The sequence below is a fragment of the Homo sapiens genome, chromosome 16 (genome assembly GCF_000001405.40).
Source record: "Homo sapiens chromosome 16, GRCh38.p14 Primary Assembly".
NCBI lineage: Eukaryota > Metazoa > Chordata > Mammalia > Primates > Hominidae > Homo > Homo sapiens.
In genome coordinates, this window is record NC_000016.10 from 50,043,810 (window position 1) to 50,066,363 (window position 22,554).

Genomic DNA, 22,554 nt, shown 5'->3' on the forward strand with positions numbered 1-22,554 from the left:
ATACTTTTTTCTCAGTGAGGTGCCTAAGTGTGAGTTTGCTAGGTGGAGTAGTTTATTTCACAAGTGGGGAAACAGGTATAGAAAGCATATTGCCCAATTTGGGAACCCTTCCCCTGCTCTCATATTTAGTCATTTTTCTATGTTCCTCCTTTTACCTGGTGTTATCTATTAATTAAAACTTTGATTTCCTTAATTTACTAGCTCTTAGTAGCTCTATCTGATAGTAGCTACTAGCTGATAGTAGCTCTATCAGCAAATTCAGTAGGAGACAGTGTATTGCAATTATTACAAACTAAACTCTGGAGCCTGACTATGTAGGTTAAATTCTGTTTGTCACTTACAAAAATCACGTGCTGTGCTCTTAGGCAAGAGGCTTGCCCTCTCTGTGCCTCAGTTCTCCCATCTCTAACACGGAGCTGTTGACATTGTGTGGCATGGTTGGTAGATTTAGTAGCTTAATATATGCAAAGCTCTTAGAGCAGCATTTGGCACATATCGAGGGATCAATAAATAGTGGCCGGCCGGGCGCGGTGGCTCACGCCTGTAATCCCAGCATTTTGGGAGGCCAAGGCAGGATCATCACTTGAGCCCAGGAGTTCCAGACCAGCCTGGGCAACATGGTGAGACCCCATTTCTACAAAAAAATACAAAAAAATTAGCCGAGTGTGGTGGTGCATGTCTGTAGTCCCAGCTACTCAGGAGGCTGAGGCCGGAGGATTGCTTGAGTCCAGGAAGCTGCAGCAAGCTGTGGACAACAAAGTGAGACCTGCTGTCAAAAAAATATACATACATACATACATACATACATACATACATATTGACCATCAGCAGGAAGCTCACTCTCCAAACAGGGAGTGCAACCCATTAAAATTAACAACGAATCTGGATGCCGGGCGCCGTGGCTCATGCCTGTAATCTCAGCACTTTGGGAGGCTGAGGCAGGCAAATCACCTGAGGTCAGGAATTCAAGACCAGCCTGGCCAACATGGTGAAACCCTGTCTTGACTAAAAATACAAAACTCAACCTGGAGTGGTGGCGGACGCCTGTAATCTCAGCTACTCCAGAGGCTGAGGCAGGAGAATTGCGTGAACCCAGGAGCCAGAGGTTGCAGTGAGCCGAGATCACACCATTGCACTCCAGCCTGGGTGACAAGAGCGAAACTCAAAAAAAGAAAAAAAACCAAAAACGAAAAAAAAAAACAACGAATCTGGGGAACTAATCAAAACAGAGACAGGTTCTGTGGGCTTTAAAAAAATCAACTTTAGGCTGGACGCAGTGGCTCACACCTGTAATCCCAACACTTTGGGGGGCCGAGGCAGGCAGATCACGATCACGAGGTCAGGAGTTTGAGACCAGCCTGACCAACATGGTGAAACCCCGTCTCTACTAAAAATAGAAAAATTAGCCGGGCATGGTGGCACACGCCTGTAATCCCACCTACTCAGGAGACTGAGGCAAAAGAATCGCTTGAACCCAGGAGGTGGAGGTTGCAATGAGCGGAGATCGTGCCACTGCACTCCAGCCTGGGTGACAGAGTGAGACTCTGTCTCAAAAAAAAAAAAAAAAAAAACTTTACATATAATAAAATGCATCCATTTAAGCTGTACAGTGTGAATTTTAGTAAATGTGGCACCTGTGTAACAATCACCATGAGCAAGATGCAGAATATTGTTATCCTCTTAAACGTTTCCTTTGCCAGGTCCCACCCCCAATTCCTGGCCTCGGGAAAATACTGTCCTGCTTCTATCACTGTAGATTTGTCTTTTCTAGATTTTCATGCAAATGACATCATAGTATAATAATGCAGTACAATAATCCTGTCTCTGGCTTCTTTTGTTCAACAGGCTTTTGATTTTTTTTTTTTGTCAACATGCTTTTGAGATTTTATCTATGTTAACACGCATGTTGGCAATTTGTTCCTTTCTTTGTTTATCCATTTACGGATTGATGGGCATTTGGGTTGTTTTCAGTTTGGGGCTATAATTCATAAAGGTTCTATGAATAATCATGTACAAGTCTGTGTGGATATATCACTTCCCTTGGGAATGCCATGGAGTGGAATTGCTGGGTCATGAGCTGCCTATGTATGTAGCTTCAACAGTGGATCATGCCTGTAATCCCAGCACTTTGAGAGGCCGAGGCAGGAGGATCGCTTGAGACCAGGAGTTGGAGACCAGCCTGGGCAGCACAGAGAGACCTCATCTCTACAAAAAATTTTTAAAAACATTAGCCAGGCATGGTGGTGTGCGCCTGTAGTCCTAGCTACTCAAGAGGCTGAGATGGAAGGATCACTTGGGCACAGGAGTTCAAGGCTATGGTGACTATGGTGAGTATGATGGCGCCACTGCTCTCCAGCCTGGGCGGCAGAGTGAGACCTTGTCTCAAAAACAAACAAACAAACAAACAAATAAAACCAAAAGAATGTCCTTCAAATGTTTCTTAGCACACTGGAGCAAAAGAAGTTAATGCCTGTTTTAATCACAACCACTTAAGGTGTGTCACTTTCCAAAGTTCGGATGAGTTAGATGGGATTTTGGGTAATATGTGTTAGGATTAAATCCTACCAAGCAGGGTGGTAGTGAGGGTGTGGAAAGGGTGAGTTGAGCGGGCGAGGCTGCGAGAGGGCAACTTAACTCTCCTCCTGTCACCCCAGTGTGGGACGGCGTGAATGTGGGGTGGAAGGGATGTCAGTCTTCTCTGAGGCGGCGCTGGAGAAGGAGCTGTCGGGGTTAAGCAATGCGCAGCAGAGCATGCAGACCTGGTCCCTGTGGCTCATTCATCACAGCAAGAAGCACCCGGGCCCGTGGTCACCGCATGGTAGCTGGAGCTGCAGAGAGCAAAGCCAAACAGGAAGCTTACTTTTCTTACCTTGCCAGTGAGACCACCTGGGCAACATGGTGAAACCTTGTCTCTACTAAAATACAAAGCAAAAGGAAGGGGCCGGAGCTTACAAAAGATTTGCACTGGTTATAGTGGAAGCTTTTAAGCATGTTTCAAGTGAAACTGATGAGAGTTGTAAGAAGCACAGAAGCACATTGGAAGAGTGTTGTCTATTTGGGAAGAAAGGTCTGTTTATGCAAATGATGTATTTAGAGGCCAGGCGTGGTGGCTCACGCCTATAATCTAAGCACTTTGGGAGGCCAAAGTGGGAGGATCACTCAAGCTCAGAAATTTGAGACCAGCCGGGGCAACATAGCTAGACTCCATCTCTAAAAAAAAAAAAAATCAGCTGGGCATGGTGGTGTGCTCCAGTGGTCCCAGCTACTCGGGAGGCTGAGGTGGGAGGATCACTTCCACCCAGGAGGTTGAGGCTTTAGTGAGCCATGATCGCACCACTGTACTCCAGCCTGGGCGACAGAGCAAGACCCTGTCTCAAAAAAACCACAAACAAGCAAACAAACAAGAAACAATGAAACAATGTATTAGAGCAACTTAAGCTCTGTGTGGTGATAAGAAGCCTAGGAAGCAAATTTATAAACAGATAAAGATGAATGAAAATAAAAACTGTTCTTCTCTGGGATCTGCAAATGAGCCACCACCACAGACTCTAAATCTCGTGACAGCATTACAAAATCTAGAAAATGCAGCCTTGGGTGATGCAGGAGTTCACTAGAGGATCACTTTTTTGCCTGCTGTAGACCAAGAAGTATCTCTACTAGATAAAATAGCAGATAAAGAACCTGGAGAAAGGCTTTCTAAAATGATGGATGCATGTATGTTGCCAGCAGATTACAATGGCAGAATGGCAGCAGAAATAGATGAGGGGAAGCAACTCACTCGAATGTTAGCAGATTTTCTTCATTGTCCAATGGAAGCCCTCGCAGAGAAAGCATAAATTGGAAGAATACAAGTGCAAGTGAGCCAGAGTTTCCCTGGTGTGCAAAGAATTCAGGTCCCCGATCCAGAGCCTGTCAGATTAATCTTGACTACCCAATGTCACTGGCAGCCGCATGCACCTGCCCTTTGCAGGGACATCTACAGTGAAGATTAATGGACCAGCCTCTTTCCCGGTCCCAAGACTGCAAGAGGTGGAGACAGGTGGATAGTCCTGTAGTGGTATTTTTGCATATTTTTGAGAGAGAAACACTAGCAAAATAAATGACAATTAGTAAAAATGTTTGAAATGTTGGTTTGTTTACTATTTTCTTTATAAGTTAACATGAATTAGTTTTGGGGTGGTGGGGTTTTGACACAGTGTCTTGTTGTGTCATCCAGGCTGGAGTACAGTGGCATGCACCTGACCTATGACTTCGTTTAAACAAAGTGATGGGCTGGGCCTGTAGTCCCAGAACTTTGAGAGGCCGAAGTGGGCAGATCACTTGTGGCCAGGAGTTAAAGACCAGCCTGGGAAACATGGCAAAACACCATCTCTACTAAAAATACAAAAATTTGCTGGGCATGGTGGCACACACCTGTAGTCCCAGTTACTTCAGAGGCTGAGGAAGGAGAATCTCTTGAACCCAGGAGGTGGAGGTTGCAGTGAGCCAAGATGAGCCACTGCACTCTAGCCTGGGCAACAGAGCGAGACTCTGCCAAAAAAAAAAAAAGATGATCTCTGTGTATTAATCAGCTCACAAATAGTGATTATTTTCAAAAGGTCTTTTGGTAATTTTTTTTTTATCCAGGGCCTTGTGAGAAATCTCATGTTTCTGTTTCCTCATATATTTTCAATTGTTTTTCTTTATTTTCTTCAGTGTCTAATCACTGTATACTATGTAATTCCTAAAGGGAAGGAACCAATCAGAGTTGGTTGAGACTCTATTTTGGTATCGTTAGGACTGGATTGTAGATGAGACTAAATGTCCCAACATAATCTTATGTTGGAACAAAGATTATCCCTCTTTTCCCCAAACAAAATATGGATTCTGTCTCCATGCCTTTGATTCCATAATTCCCTAGAGATTGGTCATGTAACATTAAACATGGAGGTCATTAGCCGGTCATGGCAGCACGCACCTGTAGTCCCAGCTACTTGGGAGTCTGAGGCAAGAGAATCACTTGACCCCAGGAAACAAAGGTTGCAGTGAGCCAAGATCATGCCACTGCACTCCTAGCCTGGGTGACAGAGGGAGACACTGTCTCAAAAAAATAAAAAATAAAAAAATAAAAAATAAATCCTACCAAGTAGGTGTGACTTGTTGTTGTTGAAACCTAGGTGGTTTTTGTTTTTGTTTGTTTGTTTGCTTTTCAGTGTTCATCTTGGCTAAACAGCCAACAAAGCAGGTAATAGATTTCAAAGGTAAAGATGTAAATATTCTACAACACAAAATTGATCTGGCTCAAGCAAAGCTATCAGCTTTGTAAAAAAAAAAAAAAACCTTTTACTATCATATTTTTATTTTTATTTTTTAGAGATGGAATTTCTGTTGCCCAGGTTGGAGTGCAGTGGCACAATCATAGCTCTCTGCAGCCTTGAAATCCTGGGTTCAAATGATCCTCCTGCCTCAGCCTCCTGAGTACTTGGGACAACAAGTATGTGCCACCACACTGGCCTCTTTTTTTTTTTTTTTTTTTTTTTTGCATAGATACAGGGTCTTGTCATATAACCCAGGCTGCTCTCAAACTCTTGGCTTCAGATGACCCTTCCACCTTGGCCACCAAAAGTGCTGGGATTACAGGCATGAGCCACCACACCTGGCCAAAAAATTTTTTAAATATTAGTTCTCTATTTGAAAAAAGTTTTAACCTCTTAGTACAAAATAAATAATTGAAAGGCTATATCAGCAATTGGTTTATTTTTGTCCCTTTTGCTATTGGTTAAATAAGTGAAATGAAAATTGTAAGTCTGAATGTTTTATAGAGAGGTTATCTGGTTACCTATTTCCTTTTCTCCTTTTTTTTTTTTTTTTTTTTTTGAGACAGAGTCTCACACTGTTGCCCGGGCTGGAGTGCAATGGCGCAACCTTGGCTCACTGCAACCTCTGCCTCCCCGGTTCACGTGATTCTCCTGCCTCAGCCTCCCGAGTAGCTGGGATTACAGGTACACACCACCACGCCTGGCTAATTTTTTGTATTTTTAGAAAAGACAAGGTTTCACTATGTTGGCCAGACTGGTCTCCAACTTCTGACCCTGTGATCGGACTGCCTTGGCCTCCCAAAGTGCTAGGATTACAGATGTGAGCCACCGCGCCCAGCCAAGGTTATCTATTTCTTTTGCAAGTATAATGTGGCATCAACAGACATGATTCTTTAGAGTTTACCTAACTTTGCATGTTTTATCACATTTGACACAGATTCCCTAAGTAATCAATTGTAAACATTTTATTTATTTATTTGAGATACGTAAAACAAGCCATCTGTTACTTTTTTTTTTTTTTTTTTTTTTTTTAGATAGAGTCTTACTCTGTTGCCCAGGCTGGAGTGCAGTGGCAGGATCTCAGCTCACTGCAACCTCTGCCTCCTGGCATCAAGTGACTCGCCTGCCTCAGCCTCCTAAGTAGCTAGGATTACAGGCGCTCAATACCACACCCGGCTAATTTTTTTGTATTTTTAGTAGAGATGGAGTTTCACCTTGTTGGTCAGGCTAGTCTCAAACTCCTGACCTCAAATGATCCACCCACCTTGGCCTCTCAAAGTGCTGGGATTACAGGTATGAGCCACCACGCCCGGTCACTCCATCAGTTACTTTTAAAAAATCCTTACTTCCAGGCTGGGTGTGGTGGTTCACGCCTGTAATCTCAGCACTTTGGGAGGCCAAGTTGGGAGGATCACTTGAGCCCAGGAGTTCGAGACCAGCCTGAGCAACATGGCAACACCCTGTCTCTACCAAAAATGCAAAAATTAGCCAGGCATGGTGGTGCCCACCTGTAGTTCCAGCTACTCAGGAGGGCTGAGGTGGAAGAATGGTTTCTGTCTGGCAGGTGGAAGCTGCAGTGAGCTGAGATCATGCCTTGCACTCCAGCCTGGGCAACAGAGTCAGACCCTGTCTCAAAAATATTAATTAAAAAGAAAAAATAAATAAAAATTTCTTACCTCCATTGTTACCTGAAAATTTGATAAATCCTGATTTTGATGTAGCATGGAAGATAATGCAAAAACAAAAATACATAATCACTAATATTAATAGTTACTTATTTAAAAACTGAAGTGATATTAGCCCATTGATCAGTTAAAAATAAATAAAACAAGTACAAAAATAGAGTAACCTTTAGAGGAATCAGGGCTTGCCTTGACATAATTAAAACCAGATGGGAATGCAAGCAGCTAAAGCAATATACAAAGAACAAAGTTTGGAGGCATCTATCTGACTTCAAAAGATTCTACGAGGCCATAATAAACGAAACAGCATGATATTGGCATAAAAACAGACACACAGACCAACTGAACAGAATAGAGAATTCAGAAGTAAATCCACATATTTACAGCCAACTGATTTTTTTTTCTGTGTGAATTCCGCCACAAACAGCCAACTGATTTTTGACAAAGGTGACAACAACATACACTGGTGAAAGGACACTCTCAATAAACGGTGCTGGGAAATCTAGATATCCCTATGCAGAAGAATGAATCTAGACCCCTCTCTCACCACGTACAAAAAATCAACTAAAAATGAATTAAAGGCTTAAATGCAAGACCTGAAACTATAAAACTACTAGAAAAAGCATAGGGAAAATGCTTCAGGACATTGGTCTAGGCAAAGATTTTATGCCTAAGACTTCAAAAGCACAGGCAACAAAAACAAAAACAGACAAAAGAGGCTATATTAAACTAAGAAGAAAAGGAAACAATCAACAGAGTAAAGAGACAACCTGTAAAATATGAGAAATTATTTCCAAACCATTCATCCAACAAGGGACTAATATCCAGAATATACAAGGGACTAATATCCAGAATATACAAGGAACTCAAGCAACTCAACAGCAAAAAAACAAATAATCCCATTAAAAAGTGGCAAAGGCTGGGTGTGGTGGCTCACACCTGTAATCCCAGCACTTTGGGAGACTGAGGCAGGCAGATCACAAGGTCAGGAGATTGAGTCCAGCATGGCCAACATGGTGAAACCCCATCTCTATTAAAAACACAAAAAAATTAGCCAGGCGTGGTGGCATGTGCCTTTAGTCCCAGCTACTCTGGAGGCTGAGGCAGGAGAATTGCTTGAACCTGGGAGGTGGAGGTTGCAGTGAGCCAAGATCATGCCACTGCACTCCAGCCTGGGTGACAGAGTGAGACTCCATCTCAAAAAAAAAAAAAAGGAGGGGTAAAGACCACATGAATAGGCACATCTCAAAAGAAGACACACAAATAGCCAACAGGTATATGCAAATATGCTTAACAGCACTAATCATCAGATAAATGTAAATCAAAACCACAATGAACTATCATCTCACTCCAGTTAGAATGGCTATTATCAAAAAGACAATAAATAAATAAATAAATAACAAATGCTGGCAAGGATGTGGAGAAAAGGGAACTCTTATATAATTTTGGTGGGAATGTAAATTAGTACAGCCATTATGGAAAACAGCATGAAGTTTCCTCAAAAAACTGAAAATAGAACTACTGTATAATCCAGCAATTTCACCACTGTGTATTTATCCAAAGGAAAGGAAATCAGCATATCAAAGGTATACCTGCTCCAGCCATGTTTATTGCAGGACTATTCACAATAGCCAAGTTACAGAATCAACCTAAGTATTCATCAACCAATGAGTGGATAAAGAAAATGTGGTATATATACACAGTGGAATACTATTCAGCCACAAAAAAGAATAAAATCCTATCACAGCAACGTGGATGGAATTGGAGGTCATTATTTTAAGTGAGATAAGCCAGGCACACAAAGACAAATATTGCATGTTCTCATTCACATGTGGAAGCTAAAAAAGTTGCTCTCATGGAAGTGGAGAGTAGAATGATGGTTACCAGGGGCTGGAAGGAAGTAGGGGAGGGAGCTTGGTTAATGGGTGCAAACACATAGTCAGATAGAAAAAACAAGCTCTAGTGTCCAGTATCACAATAGGGTAACTGTAATTAACAACAATTTATCGTACATTTCAAAATAGCTACAAGGAGAATATTGAACGTTCCCAATGCAAAGAAATAATAAATGTTTGAGATGATGAACATGCTAATTACCATGCTCTGAGCACTATACATTATATGTATTGAAACATCCCTATGTACCCCATGAATATACACAATTATTTCTTGTCAATATAAAAAATCAAAATTTAAAACAAAACAAATAAAAATTGCTAGAAGAGATTTCAAATATTCCCAACACAAAGAAATGATGAATGTTTGAGGTGATGGATATGCTAATTACCCCGATTTGATTATTACATTGTACGGATTATATGTATCAAAGTATCACATGTACCCCATAAATATGCACAATTATTATGTATCAATTTTTTTAAAAACTACATGGGAATGTACTAGCTCTTCAGCAGAGACTAGAAGTTCCTAGACGGAGAGTGGGGTCATTGATTGCTGAGCAAAGGAAACAAGAAACTACAAATAGAAAGGAAATGCTGCCCACCTGGGAGCAAAGAAAAGAAACTGCAATATTAAGTGAGTTTACCTGGAAAATGATAATTTTTAATTTAATTAATTAATTAATTTTTTGAGACAGGGTTTCATTCTTGTTGCCCAGGCTGGAGTGAAATGGCTCGATCTTGGCTCACTGCAACCTCTGCCTCCCAGGTTCAAGCGATCCTCCTGCCTCAGCCTCCCAAGTAGCTGGAATTACAGGTGCCCACCACCACACCCGGCTAATTTTTTAAAATATATTTTTAGTAGAGATGGGGTTTCACCATGCTGGCCAGGCTGGTCTGGAACTCCTGACCTCAAGTGACCCACCTGCCTCAGCCTCCCAAAGTGCTACGATTACAGGCGTGAGCCACCGTGCCTGGCAGAAAATCATAATTTTTTTAAAGTGGAAAATTTTATAAGAATACTACAAATGTTGGCTGGGTGCAGTGGCTTATGCCTGTAATCCCAGCACTTTGGGAGGCCGAGGCGGGTGGATCACAAGGTCAGGAGTTCGAGACCAGCCTGGTCAATATTGTGAAACCCTGTCTCTACAAAAAAATCAAAAACTTAGCCAGGTGTGGTGGTGCACACCTGTGATCCTAGCTACATGGGAGGCTGAAGCAGGAGAAGTGCTTGAACCTGGGAGGTGGAGGTTGCAGTGAGCCTAGATTGCGCCACTGCACTCCAGCTTGGGCAACAGAGCGAGACTCTTTCTCAAAAAAAAAAAAAAGAAAAAAAAAGAATTCTACAAATGTCATTTTGGGAGTCTGAGGCAGGAGGATTGCTTCAGGCCAGGAGTTCAAGACCAGCCTGGGCAATAAAGAGAGATTCTGTCTCTACAAAAAAATCAAAAACTTAGCCAGGCGTGGTGGCGCACACCTGTGGTCCTAGCTACATGGGAGGCTGAAGCAGGAGGATCACTTGAACCCAGGAGGTCAAGGCTGCAGTGAGCCATGTTTGCACCACTGCACTCCAACCTAGTCAACAGAGTGAGACCCTGTCTCAAAAAAAAAAAAAAAATGGTCCTAGTGTGGTGGCGTGGGCCTATAGCAAGGGGATTACTTGAGCCCAGGAGTTCAAGGCTGCAGTGAGCTATGATCACAGCACTGTACTCCAGCCTGGGTGACAGAGTGAGACCCTGTCTCTTAAAAAAAAAAAAAAAAAGTTCTACAAATGTAAGATCTTTGTACTACATGAAATACTTGTGCTGCAACTAACCTGGTGTCCAGATACCAAATGAGTCTTCTGAGAGCCAAAGGCAGCCACTGGGGGGTCACAGGTGGGCATGTGGGAAATAGAAAAGGATGGGGACTGTGTGGAGGAGGCCAGAATTGCATCGTATTTCTTCTAAAAAAATTTCATAATTTAAAAAATTATGTAAGTACTACCCAATCATTTTGGAAAACCCAGAAAATACAAACAGGGCAATAATCAGACTTTTTAAAAAGTATCTGGCCCAGCGTGGTGGCTCACGCCTGTAATCCCAACACTTTGGGAGGCCAAGGTGGGTGGATCACCTGCGGTCAGGAGTTGGAGACCAGCCTGGCCAACACGGTGAAACCCTGTCTCTAAAAATACAAAATGTAGCTGGCCGTGGTGGCACGTGCCTGCAGTCCCAGCTACTCGGGGGGCTGAGGCAGGACAATCACTTGAACCTGGGAGGCGGAGGTTGCAGTGAGCTGAGATCACACTGCTGCGCTCCAGCACTCCAGTCTGGGAAACAAGAGCGAAACTCCATCTGAAAAAAAATATATATAGATATAGATATAGATATAGATATAGATATATGGATATATATAGATAGATATAGAGATATCTATATAGATATATCTATCTATATATCTCTATATCTATCTATATATATCTATATCTATCTATATCTATATCTATATCTATATATATCTATATCTATATCTATATATATATCTATATATATCTATATATATATATCTCCTTTAATTCTGCCCAGAGGCAAACACAGGAAACATTTTGGTACATACGCTTTGTTTCGGTTTTTTTTTTTTTCCATTTTTACAAATGTGAAAGGTCCAGGTATATATACTTCCATGAGTTTTTCTCTGTTTTGTGTGTTTCCAAAAGTGTGATTATGCTATTTATGCTGCTTTGTAACCTGCCTTTTTACTTCATAGTGCCTGGTGAACACCTTTCTTTCCTTATGGATAAACAGTATCAAAGGATGGTTTTCAAGTTAAAATTTTGACCTTCGTATACACATAGGGTGAGCATGTACATGTTCTTTAATGAAGGAACTGGGAGGATGGTAAAACTGGTTCAACAGAGAAACAGAAATTTATATAGTCAGTGTGGAAAAATGTATTTAAATGGGATTTCTAGGTTAGATATGAAACTGGTTAATATTCTACAGGGCAACGAAATTCTATCCTTTGGGGTTATCTTTTCTGCTGGACAGAAATAATTTGCATCTCAACTGGACAAAATCAAAATCATTTGCAATTTATTCATATATAAATTCACATCTAATTTCATAGAGTCTAGGCCCCTAAGTAAATGGTCAGTCAAACAAAAACATATATTTCTCTAGAGCAATGATTCTCAACTAAAGGTGATTTTGCCTCCCAGAGGACATTTGGCAATGGCCAAAGACATGTTTGGTTGTCACCACTGGGGAGTGTTAGTGGCATCTGGTGGGTAGAGGCCAGGGGTGCTGTTAAAACATTGTACAATGCACAGGACAGCCTCCACAACAAAGAATTATCCAGCCCAGACTGGCAACCTCCACAACAGAGAATTATCCAGCCCACACTGTCAGTGGTACCCACCTCTACCTATTAGATGCTAGTAGCACCCCCACAGTTGTGACAACCAAAATGTCTCCAGACATTGCCAAATGTCCCACAGGGAGGCAAAATTGCCCCCAGGTCAGACGCACTGCTTTAGAGTTGCACTTTACAAATGCATCGCATCTAGTCACGTGTAGCTATTTATTTTTATTTTTATTTTATTTTTATTTACTTTTTAATGTCATAATGTTAATGAACACCAGGGGTTCAGTCTAGGTCCTAGGCTTGATATACAGAAAGCCAATCACTGAGACAACAAGTATTGCAGGGAAGAAAGCTTTCTTCAGGTGACATCACTGGGAGAGACCGGAAATAAACCTCAAATCCATTCCTCCTCCCTGACTAAAGGTAGGTGTTTACACATCATGGGAGGATAACAGGAGCAGCAAGGAAGAGGAGTTGGTCAACAGGCAGCAGGGGCATCCCACAGAAGAAACGTACGTTTCTCAAGCTTCAGTTCTATGGACATCTGGCTTGTTGGAAAATTGGGCAGGCATCAACAACAAAAAATGTTTTTAATTAACCAAAATTGAAAATTTAGTTCCTAGCAGTAGCCTTACTTCAAGTGTTCAGTAGCCAATTGTGGGCCAAGTGCAGTGGCTCACTCCTGTAATCTCAGCACTTTGGTAGGTCAAGTCAGGAGGATTGCATGAGGGCAAAAGTTTAAGACCAGCTTGGGCAACAGGGTGAGAGACCTCATCTCTACAAAAAAAAAGAAAATAAAAAAATAAAACAACAACAACAAAATAGCCATGTTTGGCTAGTAGCTACTCTACTGGGCAGGGCAGGCAGAGAACATTTTCCTCTTTGTGGAAAACTCTGCTTGATGGTACTGCCTTAGAGAAATAATCATTTCATGGGTCTGTTAGACATTGGGACAATGTAATATTGAAAAAAATATGCAGGTCAGGTGCAGTGGCTCATGCCTTTAATCCCAGGACTTTGGGAGGCTGAGGCATGCAGATCAGTTGAACTCAGGAGTTCGAGACCAGTCTAGGCAACATGGTGAAACCCCATCTCTACAAAAAAAAAAAAAAATCAGCTGGGCATGGTGGTGGGCACCTGTAGTCCTAGCTACTCGGAAGGCTGAGGTGGGAGGATGGCTAGAGCCCAGGAGGTGAAAGTTGCAGTGAGCCAAGACCACACCACTGCATTCCAGCCTGGGCAAGAGAGCAAGACCCTGTCTCAAAAAAAGATTTAAAAAACATATATAAAGAAAAGAAACAGAAAAAATGTGCAGCTATCCTTTTTGCTTATTTCCAAGTTTTGGATAATTTTTCTTTTTTTCTTTTTCATCAGCACTTTTATTTTTCCTTACGCACTCGTGTTGTTGGGGCCTAATGTTCTCACATAACTGTAAGAAACCAAAATTTGTTGTCATCTCTTAAAGAATTGAGAATTGCATACACACACACACACACACACACACACACACACACAAACCTTACGTAAATTAAAGGGATGAATACATTTACAGGTGTAAATGCAAACCACTTCCAACTCAAGGCAAGTAACAGCCATGGTATTCCGGCAGGAAAACATCAGCTAAGAAAGGAAACTGGGTCCTATGGCTTGGACTTTCCAACCCTGACAGACCAGCAGAACAGAAACAACTGGTTCAGGAGCCCTTGCCAGCCTCTAGAGAAATCCCAGAACACTCAGCCCTAACACATTAACACCCTGCACTCGTGGGAGACTGCTGGCCACGCAGACCCACCAAGCCATGGACTTGTCTTCCACAAGCACGTTCTTACCTCAGCCACAAAGTGACCAAGCCACATGTACTAAGGGTTGAGATCCAAGATATGTACAGAATACTTAACAAATACCAAGGGAACAGTTAACTTGCATATGAGGTCAAAATCAGCAACAAGTTCTACAATCCAGTGCTGATATCAGATACAAGCTTCAAGGACGAATTTCTTTTTGAAGGCTTATTCCAGTTTCATGAGGCTAGCATGGGGTGTATGCATTTGCCAGGGGCAAATTTATTCTTCTGAATTAATCCACGCCACAAATGCTAGGCATCTGCTCGCAGTCCATTTAGAAGCATTTGCGGTGGATGATGGAGGGGGCTGACTCCTCGTACTCCTGCTTGCTAATCCACATCTGCTGGAAGGTAGACAGGGAGGCCAGGATGGAGCCGCCAATCCACACCATGTACTTGTGCTCAGGGGACTCGATGATTGTGATCTTCATGGTGCTGGGCGCCAGAGTGGTGATCTCCTGCATCCTGCCCGTGATGTCCAGGTACACGGTGGTGCCGCAGGACAGCATCATCTTGGCCTACAGGTATTTGTGGATGTCCACGTCACACTTTACGATGGAACTGAAGGTGGTCTTGTGGATGCCGGGGGTTCCATGCCCAGGAAAGAAAGCTGGAAAGTTGCCTCTGGACACCAGACCCACTGGCTGCAGATGGTGATGACCTGGCCGTCGGGTGGCTCATAGCTCTTCTCCAGGGACGAGAACACGGCGGTGGCCAGCTCCCGCTTGATGTCCGGGGTAACGTAGCACAGCTTCTCCTTGATGTCACGCACGATCTCCCACTCGGCCGTGGGGTGAAGCTACAGGTGAAGCTGTAGCCACACTCGGTGAGGATCTTCATGAGGTAGTTGGTTAGGGGAGATGGGCACCGTGTGGGCGACCCCATCTCCAGAGTCTGTGACAATGCCACTGGTGTGCCCAGAGCACTAGAGGGACAGCACGGCATGGATGGCCACACACATGGCCAGGGTGTTGAAGGTCTTAGACATGATCCAAGTTATCTTCTCTCTGCTAGTCTTGGGGTTCAGGGGGGCCTCAGTCAGCAGCACTGGGTGCTCCTCTGGGCCACACGCAGTTTGTTGTAGAAGGTGTGGTGCCAGATCTTCTCCATGTCATCCCGGTTCGTGACCATGCCCTGCTCGATGGGATATTTCAGGGTCAGGATGCCGTACTTGCTCTGGGCCTCGTCGCCCACATAGGAGTCCTTCTGGCCCATCCATGCCCACCATCATGAGCTGGTGCCCGGGGCACCCGACAATGGAGGGGAACATGGTTCAGGGGGCATCGTCCCTAGCAAAGCCAGCTTTGCACCTGCCAGAGCCATTGTCAATGATGAGCACGATGATCTCTTCTTCCATCGCCATCGTGGAGAAGTGGGTGGCTGAGCAGCGGGAGGACGTGGTGTGTGGGCTAGTGGCAGCGAGTGAGTAATAATTTCTTCTACAAGACCTTTGTTAAAGGCAGCATAGAGCTGCAAGGCTAGGTAGACTGTAAACACCATGACATCATGGACTGGAGCTTGGTTCTCTCATTATCCCTAGCACCTGCTGCAGGGACTGATACCTGGCAAGCACTCAATTATAAATATCTGCTAAGTGAATGAATGAATGGGGTGAAATTCGGTGGGTAGCAGGTCCCTTTGCAGTGACTTCCTTGGGTTGGCTGTCAGCAGTTATGCAATTGTCACACCTATCTCAGCAAGTTCTGAGGACCAAGTGGGGGATGACCAGCAACAGTGCCTATCCCAGGCTCTGACACCTGCTCAGGAGGCACCCAACCGGCGATTTTCCTTCCTTTCTTGAAATCATCAAAATGGTTCCCAGGCCTCTAATAGTTCAAAAACCCTTACCAAGTCTATGTAAATAAAGAAAACTTCCCTTGTTCAGACAGCTTGTTAGTGGCAGAACTGGAACTAGAGACCCAGTGTCTAATCATCTTGCAGATGACTTTACCAGCAGTGACATTCCTTGTTGGTGACTACTGAGTCACTCTATGTAGGGCCAGCTGAGACAGAGGACAGTAACCACGAGGAGGGAGTGGACACACCAGGGACATTAATTCAGCGAAGTGCCAGGCACTGCTAATTCAGAGGCTAGTGTGGGCAGCTCACATGTATACATTTTTTGTTTTTTGAAACAGGGTCTCACTCCATCACCCAGGCTGGAGCGCAGTGGTACAATCACAGCTCTCTGCAGCCTTAAACTCCTGGGCTCAAGTGATCCTCCCACTTCAGCCTCTGGAGTAGCTGGGACCACAGGCTTGTGCCACAATGCCTGGCTAATTTGTTGTATTTTTTGTAGAGACGGGATTTGCCACAATGTCCAGGCTGGTCTTGAACTCCTGGGCTCAAGCGATCCGCCCACCTTGGCTTCCCAAAGTGCTGGGAATACAGGCATGAGCCACCGTGCCTGGCCTCACACGTATACCTTTGATGACAACTCATGGACAATTACTTTTTTCTTGTTTGGGACAGGGTCTGTCACCCAGGCTGCAGTGCAGTGGTATGATCCTAGCTCGCTGTAGCCTCCAACTTCTGGGTTCAAGTGATTTTCCTGCCTCAGCCTGCTGAGAACCTGGGACTACAGGCGTGCACCACCACACCTGGCTTCATGAACAATTCTGAGAGAGGTACAGGGCACATAAAGTACACGGCTGGCCCAAGGGTGCAGCATCTGCTGGGGCAGCAGGAAATGGAGGACAGTAGGCCAGGCCCCAGGGGTTGACCATCTTTTGGGTTTATATTTCTCATTCTTCCCACAATGAGTCCCTAAAGCTCACAGGAACTGTAAGTGGATCAGAGACTGTACTAGAATGGCGATGATTAACGCCATTGTGAGTTATGGAAGCTTGCCCAGCTCGATGGTAGTCCAGGCCTAAGGAAAGCAAAGTCCCACAGAGTTTCTGGGAAGACTGAGGAGGCTCCCAGGGCTGGAGATGTGGTGTTGGAGGGACATGGCAGAGTGCTGTGGCCACATTGTGTATGTTATGTAAAAGGCTGAACCTGACTGTATAAGACCATGGGACTGTCTAAATGTTCTAGAAAAAACTGATCTGAGTGTGTTGTAGGAAGATTACATTATAAAAATTCGAAGTGGGAGGAACAGGAGTCCGGCAGAGCAGCTCTTTTTTTTTTCTTTTTTTTTTCCTTTCAGATAGGGTCTCACTTTATGGCCCAGGCTGGAGTGTAGTGGTGCAATCATAGCTCACTGCAGTCTCAAACTCCTGGGCTCAAGCGATCTTCCCACCTTAGTCTCCTAAGTAGCTGGGACTACAGGCAAACACCACTGTGCTTGGCTAATTTCTAAACTTTCTGTAGAGATATGGTCTCTTGATGTTGCCCAGGCTGGTCTCAAACTCCTGAAGTCAGGTGATCCTCCCACCTTGGCCTCCCAAAGTTCTGAGAATACAGGTGAGCCACTGCACCCAGCCTAACTCCTTTTTTTTTTTTTAATTTGTCAGACCAATAATTGATGACAAGCTTATTTCCAACTTGTCTCAAGGGAAGAGGCTTCTAAGCAGTCTAATTCAAAAATTCCCTCTTGACAAAGATAATTTGCAGGAAAAAGGGATGGTTAGATAATCACTACTTCACTGCATTTTAAAAAATGACTGGTGAAGGAAGATTAGACTGGTTAAAGATCACTGGGCTCCTTCCAAGACTGACAATTGACTGAGGGTGGCTCCCAGAAGGGCTCTTAAGCTCATTAAATAAAGCTAATTACTCATTTTAGCAGCAATGGTAATTTATCACTGGAAAGAGTAACTAATGATAACAGACCACAAAGTTCTGCTCTAGCTATGGTATTTATACGTATTTATATTTTTTAAGAATTTAGTTTTATTTTTTGAGACAGGGTCTCACTCTGTCACCCAGGCTGGAGCGCAGTGGTGTGATCTCGGCTCACTGAAGCCTCCACCTCCCATGCTCAAGTGATTCTCCCACCTCAGCCTCCCAAGTAGCTGGGACTACAGGCACACACCACCGCACCCAGCTAATTTTTTAATTTTTTGTAGAGATGGGGTCGCATTATGTTGCCCACGCTGGTCTTGAAATCCTGGGCTCAAGTGATCCAGCCGCCATGGCCTCCCAAAGTGCTGGGATTACAGGTTTGAGCCAGTGAACCTGGCCGAAGACTTTATTTTTTAAAGCAGTTTCAGGTTCACGGCAAAAAGAGGAAAGTACAGAGATTTCCCACATACTCCCAGCCCCCACATATGCACAGCCTCTCCCATGATAACATCTTCCACCATGATGCATTTGTTACAACCATGAACCTACACTGACATGCCATTATCACCCCAAATCCGTAGTTTACATTAGGGTTTGCTCTAGGTGTTATACATTCTAGACGTTTGGAAAAATGTACAATGACATATATCCACCATTATATCATCTAAAGTATTTTCACTGCCCTAAAAGTCCTCTGTGCTCATCTAGTTAAGGTTTTTTTTGTTTGTTTGTTTTTGAGACGGAGTCTCGTTCTGTCGCCCAGGTTGCAGTGCAGTGGCATGATCTCAGCTCACTGCAACCTCCACCTCCCAGGTTCAAGTGGTTCTCTTGCCTCAGCCTCCTGAGTAGCTGGGACTACAGGCATGTACCACCATGCTTGGCTAATTTTTGTATTTTTTGTAGAGACGGGGTTTCACCATGCTGGCCAGGCTGGTCTGGAACTCCTGACCTCAGGTGATCTGCCCGCCTCAGCCTCCCAAAGTGCTGGGATTACAGGCATGAGCCCCCGCGCCCAGCCTGAGTTTTGAACCACTTTTTTCTTGCTCATCCTCACAGTGAGAGAAACAGGAGGAATCTGTTTCTATCTCATCTAAATTCTCGTCATCTTATTCCATCTAGATTTAATGCCCTATTCTTTCCTACGTGGTCACTCCATTCATTCAAGAAATTGCATGACTATCTTGTGCCAGGCTCTGGGCTAGTGTTGGGGATACTGTGATGTGTGAAAATGGGCACTGTCTTGTCTTTATAGGTGCTAGTGTTCAGCTGGGGAGAAAGGCAATTGTATAACCGTTCACAAAGAAATTGAAAATTACGACTGTAATTTTGATATGTGCTTTGAAGCAAAGAAACGAGGTACATGCTGTCTCAAGGGAGACCTGTCTCTCACTACGAAGTCCCTGTCTCTGCCTATGAAGACTGTGTTCACTAGTTCATAGGGTAGGGGCTGGGGTTTGTGCAAACCCCTGAGGCCCCATAGATGTTGGCTAAAAGAGCAAAATGAAGAGGTGAGGCTGGGGGCCGGGGTGAAACCCTGCAGCCCTGGTAAGATTTTGATCTTTATCCAAAGAGAAAGGGAAGCCACTGAAAAGTTTTTTGTTTTCTTTGGTTTTTTCTTCTGAGACGGAGTCTTGCTTTGTCACCCAGGCTGGAGACCAGTGGTGTGATCTGGGCTCACTGCAACCTCTGCCTCCTGGGTTCAAGTGATTCTCCTGCCTCAGCCTCCTGAGTAGCTGGGATTACAGGTACGTGCCACCACACCCAGCTAATTTTTGTATTTTTAGTACATACATGGTTTCACCATGTTGGCCAGGCCGGTCTTGAACTCATGACCTCAGTGATCTACCCGCCTCAGCCTCCCAAAGTGCTGGGATTACAGGCGTGAGTCACCATGCCCGGCAGCCACTGAAAAGTTTTAAGCGAGGAAGTGAATACAATATAAGGAGAAAGGTGGAGGGATATTTTGAGATCACTCTAGCTGCTCAATGGATGGGGGACAGGCAGGGTGGAAATGGAGAGACCAGAGAGCCACGTGCTCAAGATAAAAGACAGTAGCCTAGGCCAGGCGTGGTAGATAACGCCTGTAATCCCAGCACTTTGGGAAGCCGAGACTGGTGGATCACCTGAGGTTAGGAGTTCGAGACTAGCCTGGCCAACATGGTGAAACCCCATCTCTACTAAAAATACAATTTAGCTGGGCGTGGTGGCATGCACCTGTAATCCCAGCTACTCAGGAGGCTGAGGCAGGAAAATCACTTGAACCCAAGAGGCAGAGGTTTCAGTGAGCCGAGATCATGCCATTGCACTCCAGCCTGAGCAACGAGAAAGAGACTCCATCTCAAAAAAAACAACAACAAAAAGACGGTTGCCTGGACTAGGTGGGTGGCAGGCAGATCGATGGCCTGATAAAATATACAGGAAGTAAAACCCACCAACATATATTTAGTGGCTCCAAGGTTGATTTTTTTTTTTTTTTTTTTTTTGAGACGGAGTCTCGCTCTGTCACCCAAGCTGGAGTGCAGTGGCGTGATCTCGGCTCACTGCAACCTTTGCCTCCCAGGTTCAAGAGATTCTCCTGGCTCAGCCTCCAAGTAGCTGGGACTACAGGCACATGCCACCATGCCTGGCTAATTTTTGTATTTTTAGTAGAGATGGGGTTTCGCTATGTTGGCCAGGCTGGTCTTGAACTCCAGACCTCAGGTGATCTGCTCACCTTGGCTTCCCAAAGTGGTGGGATTACAGGTGTGAGCCACAGTGCCCAGCCCAAGATTGATCTTTGATAGGCCCAAATGCAACATGAGCTACACTTCTGTTACTCTCTAAAATTTGCCATAGTAATTAATTTCCCTTACTGGACAGTCAACTCTTTGACAGTAGGGTTACCATGGAATGGAAATTTTCTCCAGTAGAATGTTGACCTGAGCCTGGGCGTGGTGGCTCATACCTGTAATACTAGCACTTTGGGAGGCTGAGGCAGGCAGATCATTTGAGATCAAGAGTTCGAGACCAGCCTGACCAACGTGGTAAAACCCCGTCTCTCCTAAAAATAATAATAAAAAAAAAATAGCTGGGCATGGTGGCACATACCTGTAATCTCAGCTACTTAGGAGGCTAAGGCAGGAGGACTGCTTGAACTCCAAGGCAGAGGTTACAATAAGCCGAGATCGCACCATTGCACTCCAGCCTGGACAGCAGAGTGAGACTCTGTTTCAAAAACAAAAAGAAAAAAAGAAAATTGACCCAAAGCTATGCATATATTGAGTACTCACTCGTTACATGTCTAATTATAAAGACCACCTAAGATTCTCCTGTACTTTTCCCTCTGCTTAGTATTTACCACAATTATAACCAAAGTTATTCATATAATTATATATTCAACAGATCTCTCCCTGGACTGTAAATTCCATAAGGACAGGGAGAGAGGACAGGAACCAAACTGTCTTGATTACTGCTTTATTCCAATGCCCAGCACTGTACCTAGTACTCAACAAATATCTGCAAAAGAATCTCTTTGTTAAATACGTTTCCAAACATTTACATAGTGCTTAGTATCTGCCAGTCTCTGTTCTTAGCACCTTAAACATATGAACACATTTAGTCTTCGTAACAACTCCATGAGGTATATACTATCGATGTCCCCACTTCACTGATGAGGAAACTAAGGCAGGGAGATTAGGTTCTTAAGCGATTCTGTTTTATCAAATATAGACACACATTCGTTCCAAAACATTAACTAGTCTCTGTCTACGACAGGAGCTATGGGAGGTGCTGGGGACACAAAATAAAATCGTGGTTAATGCTTTTTGAGTACCTGCTATATATCAGGCTTGGTGTTAGGCACTTTACAGAACTTTATGAACTTTACAGAACTTACAATAACCTTGCAAGTTAGGTATTCTTAATCACATTTGATTATTTGTAGCCGGTGTTACTAACTTATTGGTTGCTTGATTGATTGATTGAGACAGGGTCTCGCTCTGTCGCCCAGGATGGAGTGCAGTAGCAGGATCACGGCTCACCTCAGCCTCAAACTCCTGGGGTCAAGTGATCCTCCGGCTTCAACGTCCCAAGTAGCTGGGACTACACACACACGCCACTATGCCCAGATAATTTTTAATTTTTTTGGTGGGGAGGACAGGGAGTGGAGTGTTTTCCTATGTTGCCCAAGATGGTCTCGAACTTCTGGCCTCAAGTGATCCTCTCGCCCGGGTCGGCGTTACTATTCTAGTCCAACCTCCTACTTACCCGGTAAACCCACAAGGCTCCGCCCCTTTGCCGAAGCTGGCCCCGCCTATGCCCTCTTCCACGCCTGCGCGCTCCGTGCGCCAGTTCCCCCCACCCCGCCCCGCCCCAACCCCGACCCGGCAGACGACGCGCCGTGCGCCTGCGCACGGCTTGCCCATGTGTGCTGCAGCCGTCAGCCGGCCCAGCTGAGCAGCAGCAACGGACCTTGTTAACGGCGCGGCAGCCTCCACCGCCTGCTGTTGCCCTCCTCTCTCGGTGGTCTGTCCGCCCAGCGCACGTCACCATGGGCAAGAGCCGGACGAAGCGCTTCAAGCGACCTCAGTTCTCCCCTACGGGCGACTGTCAGGCCGAGGCGGCTGCGGCGGCGAATGGGACCGGAGGCGAGGAGGACGACGGGCCGGCGGCGGAGCTGCTGGAAAAGGTGAGGCGAGGGCTCCGTCGGGCCGGGAGGCGAGACGAGGTTGCCCCGCGCGCGTGCGCATTGCGCGCCTTCTGACCCTTTTCGCTCTCATCCG

At 44.7% G+C, this 22,554-nt stretch overlaps 1 protein-coding gene, 1 long non-coding RNA gene and 2 pseudogenes across 7 annotated transcripts in view, besides 5 other annotated features; 2 read left to right on the top strand and 2 right to left on the bottom strand.

Annotated features, from left to right (window-relative positions):
• Nucleotides 1–30: 30 nt before the first annotated feature.
• HEATR3-AS1 (HEATR3 antisense RNA 1) lies at nt 31–22,515 on the bottom strand. Its single transcript, NR_186390.1, has 3 exons — nt 22,244–22,515; nt 20,882–20,998; nt 31–2,828 (listed from the first exon to the last, which is right to left on the bottom strand). It is a non-coding gene; the product is annotated as an HEATR3 antisense RNA 1 (long non-coding RNA).
• LOC100130602 (regulation of nuclear pre-mRNA domain containing 1A pseudogene) lies at nt 2,649–4,053 on the top strand (annotated as a pseudogene).
• Nucleotides 2,759–3,259: an enhancer, noted in NCBI's record as "H3K4me1 hESC enhancer chr16:50080479-50080979 (GRCh37/hg19 assembly coordinates)". NCBI's record gives its function as "activates a minimal SCP1, AML or CMV promoter by ChIP-STARR-seq in primed H9 embryonic stem cells {active_cell/tissue: H9 hESC(primed)}" and the evidence as "EXISTENCE:reporter gene assay evidence [ECO:0000049][PMID:30033119]".
• Nucleotides 14,147–15,492, bottom strand: ACTG1P16 (actin gamma 1 pseudogene 16; annotated as a pseudogene).
• Nucleotides 16,866–17,041: a silencer, noted in NCBI's record as "fragment chr16:50094586-50094761 (GRCh37/hg19 assembly coordinates)". NCBI's record gives its function as "represses an EF-1alpha promoter that drives an FKBP-Casp9 reporter gene in an ReSE screen in HepG2 liver carcinoma cells and phorbol 12-myristate 13-acetate-treated (for megakaryocytic differentiation) K562 erythroleukemia cells {active_cell/tissue: HepG2 | K562(+PMA)}" and the evidence as "EXISTENCE:reporter gene assay evidence [ECO:0000049][PMID:32094911]".
• Nucleotides 21,969–22,263: an enhancer, noted in NCBI's record as "tiled region #4020; HepG2 Activating DNase unmatched - State 1:Tss, and K562 Activating DNase matched - State 1:Tss". NCBI's record gives its function as "activates a minimal TATA promoter and a strong SV40 promoter by Sharpr-MPRA in HepG2 and K562 cells {active_cell/tissue: HepG2 | K562}" and the evidence as "EXISTENCE:reporter gene assay evidence [ECO:0000049][PMID:27701403]".
• Nucleotides 22,114–22,163: a silencer, noted in NCBI's record as "silent region_7467". NCBI's record gives its function as "represses an Ori minimal core promoter by ATAC-STARR-seq in GM12878 lymphoblastoid cells {active_cell/tissue: GM12878}" and the evidence as "EXISTENCE:reporter gene assay evidence [ECO:0000049][PMID:35858748]".
• Nucleotides 22,161–22,554, top strand: part of HEATR3 (HEAT repeat containing 3) — a 41,303-nt gene continuing 40,909 nt past the window's right edge. For all 6 annotated transcript variants that reach the window (NR_138092.2, NR_138093.2, NM_001329729.2 and 3 more), the window contains exon 1: nt 22,161–22,460. Coding sequence is in view for 1 of the 6 variants with exons in the window: in NM_182922.4 (NP_891552.1) it covers nt 22,323–22,460 (138 nt within the window). In the remaining 5 variants the exon portion in view is untranslated. The remainder of the gene's footprint in view (nt 22,461–22,554) is intronic.
• Nucleotides 22,494–22,543: a silencer, noted in NCBI's record as "silent region_7468". NCBI's record gives its function as "represses an Ori minimal core promoter by ATAC-STARR-seq in GM12878 lymphoblastoid cells {active_cell/tissue: GM12878}" and the evidence as "EXISTENCE:reporter gene assay evidence [ECO:0000049][PMID:35858748]".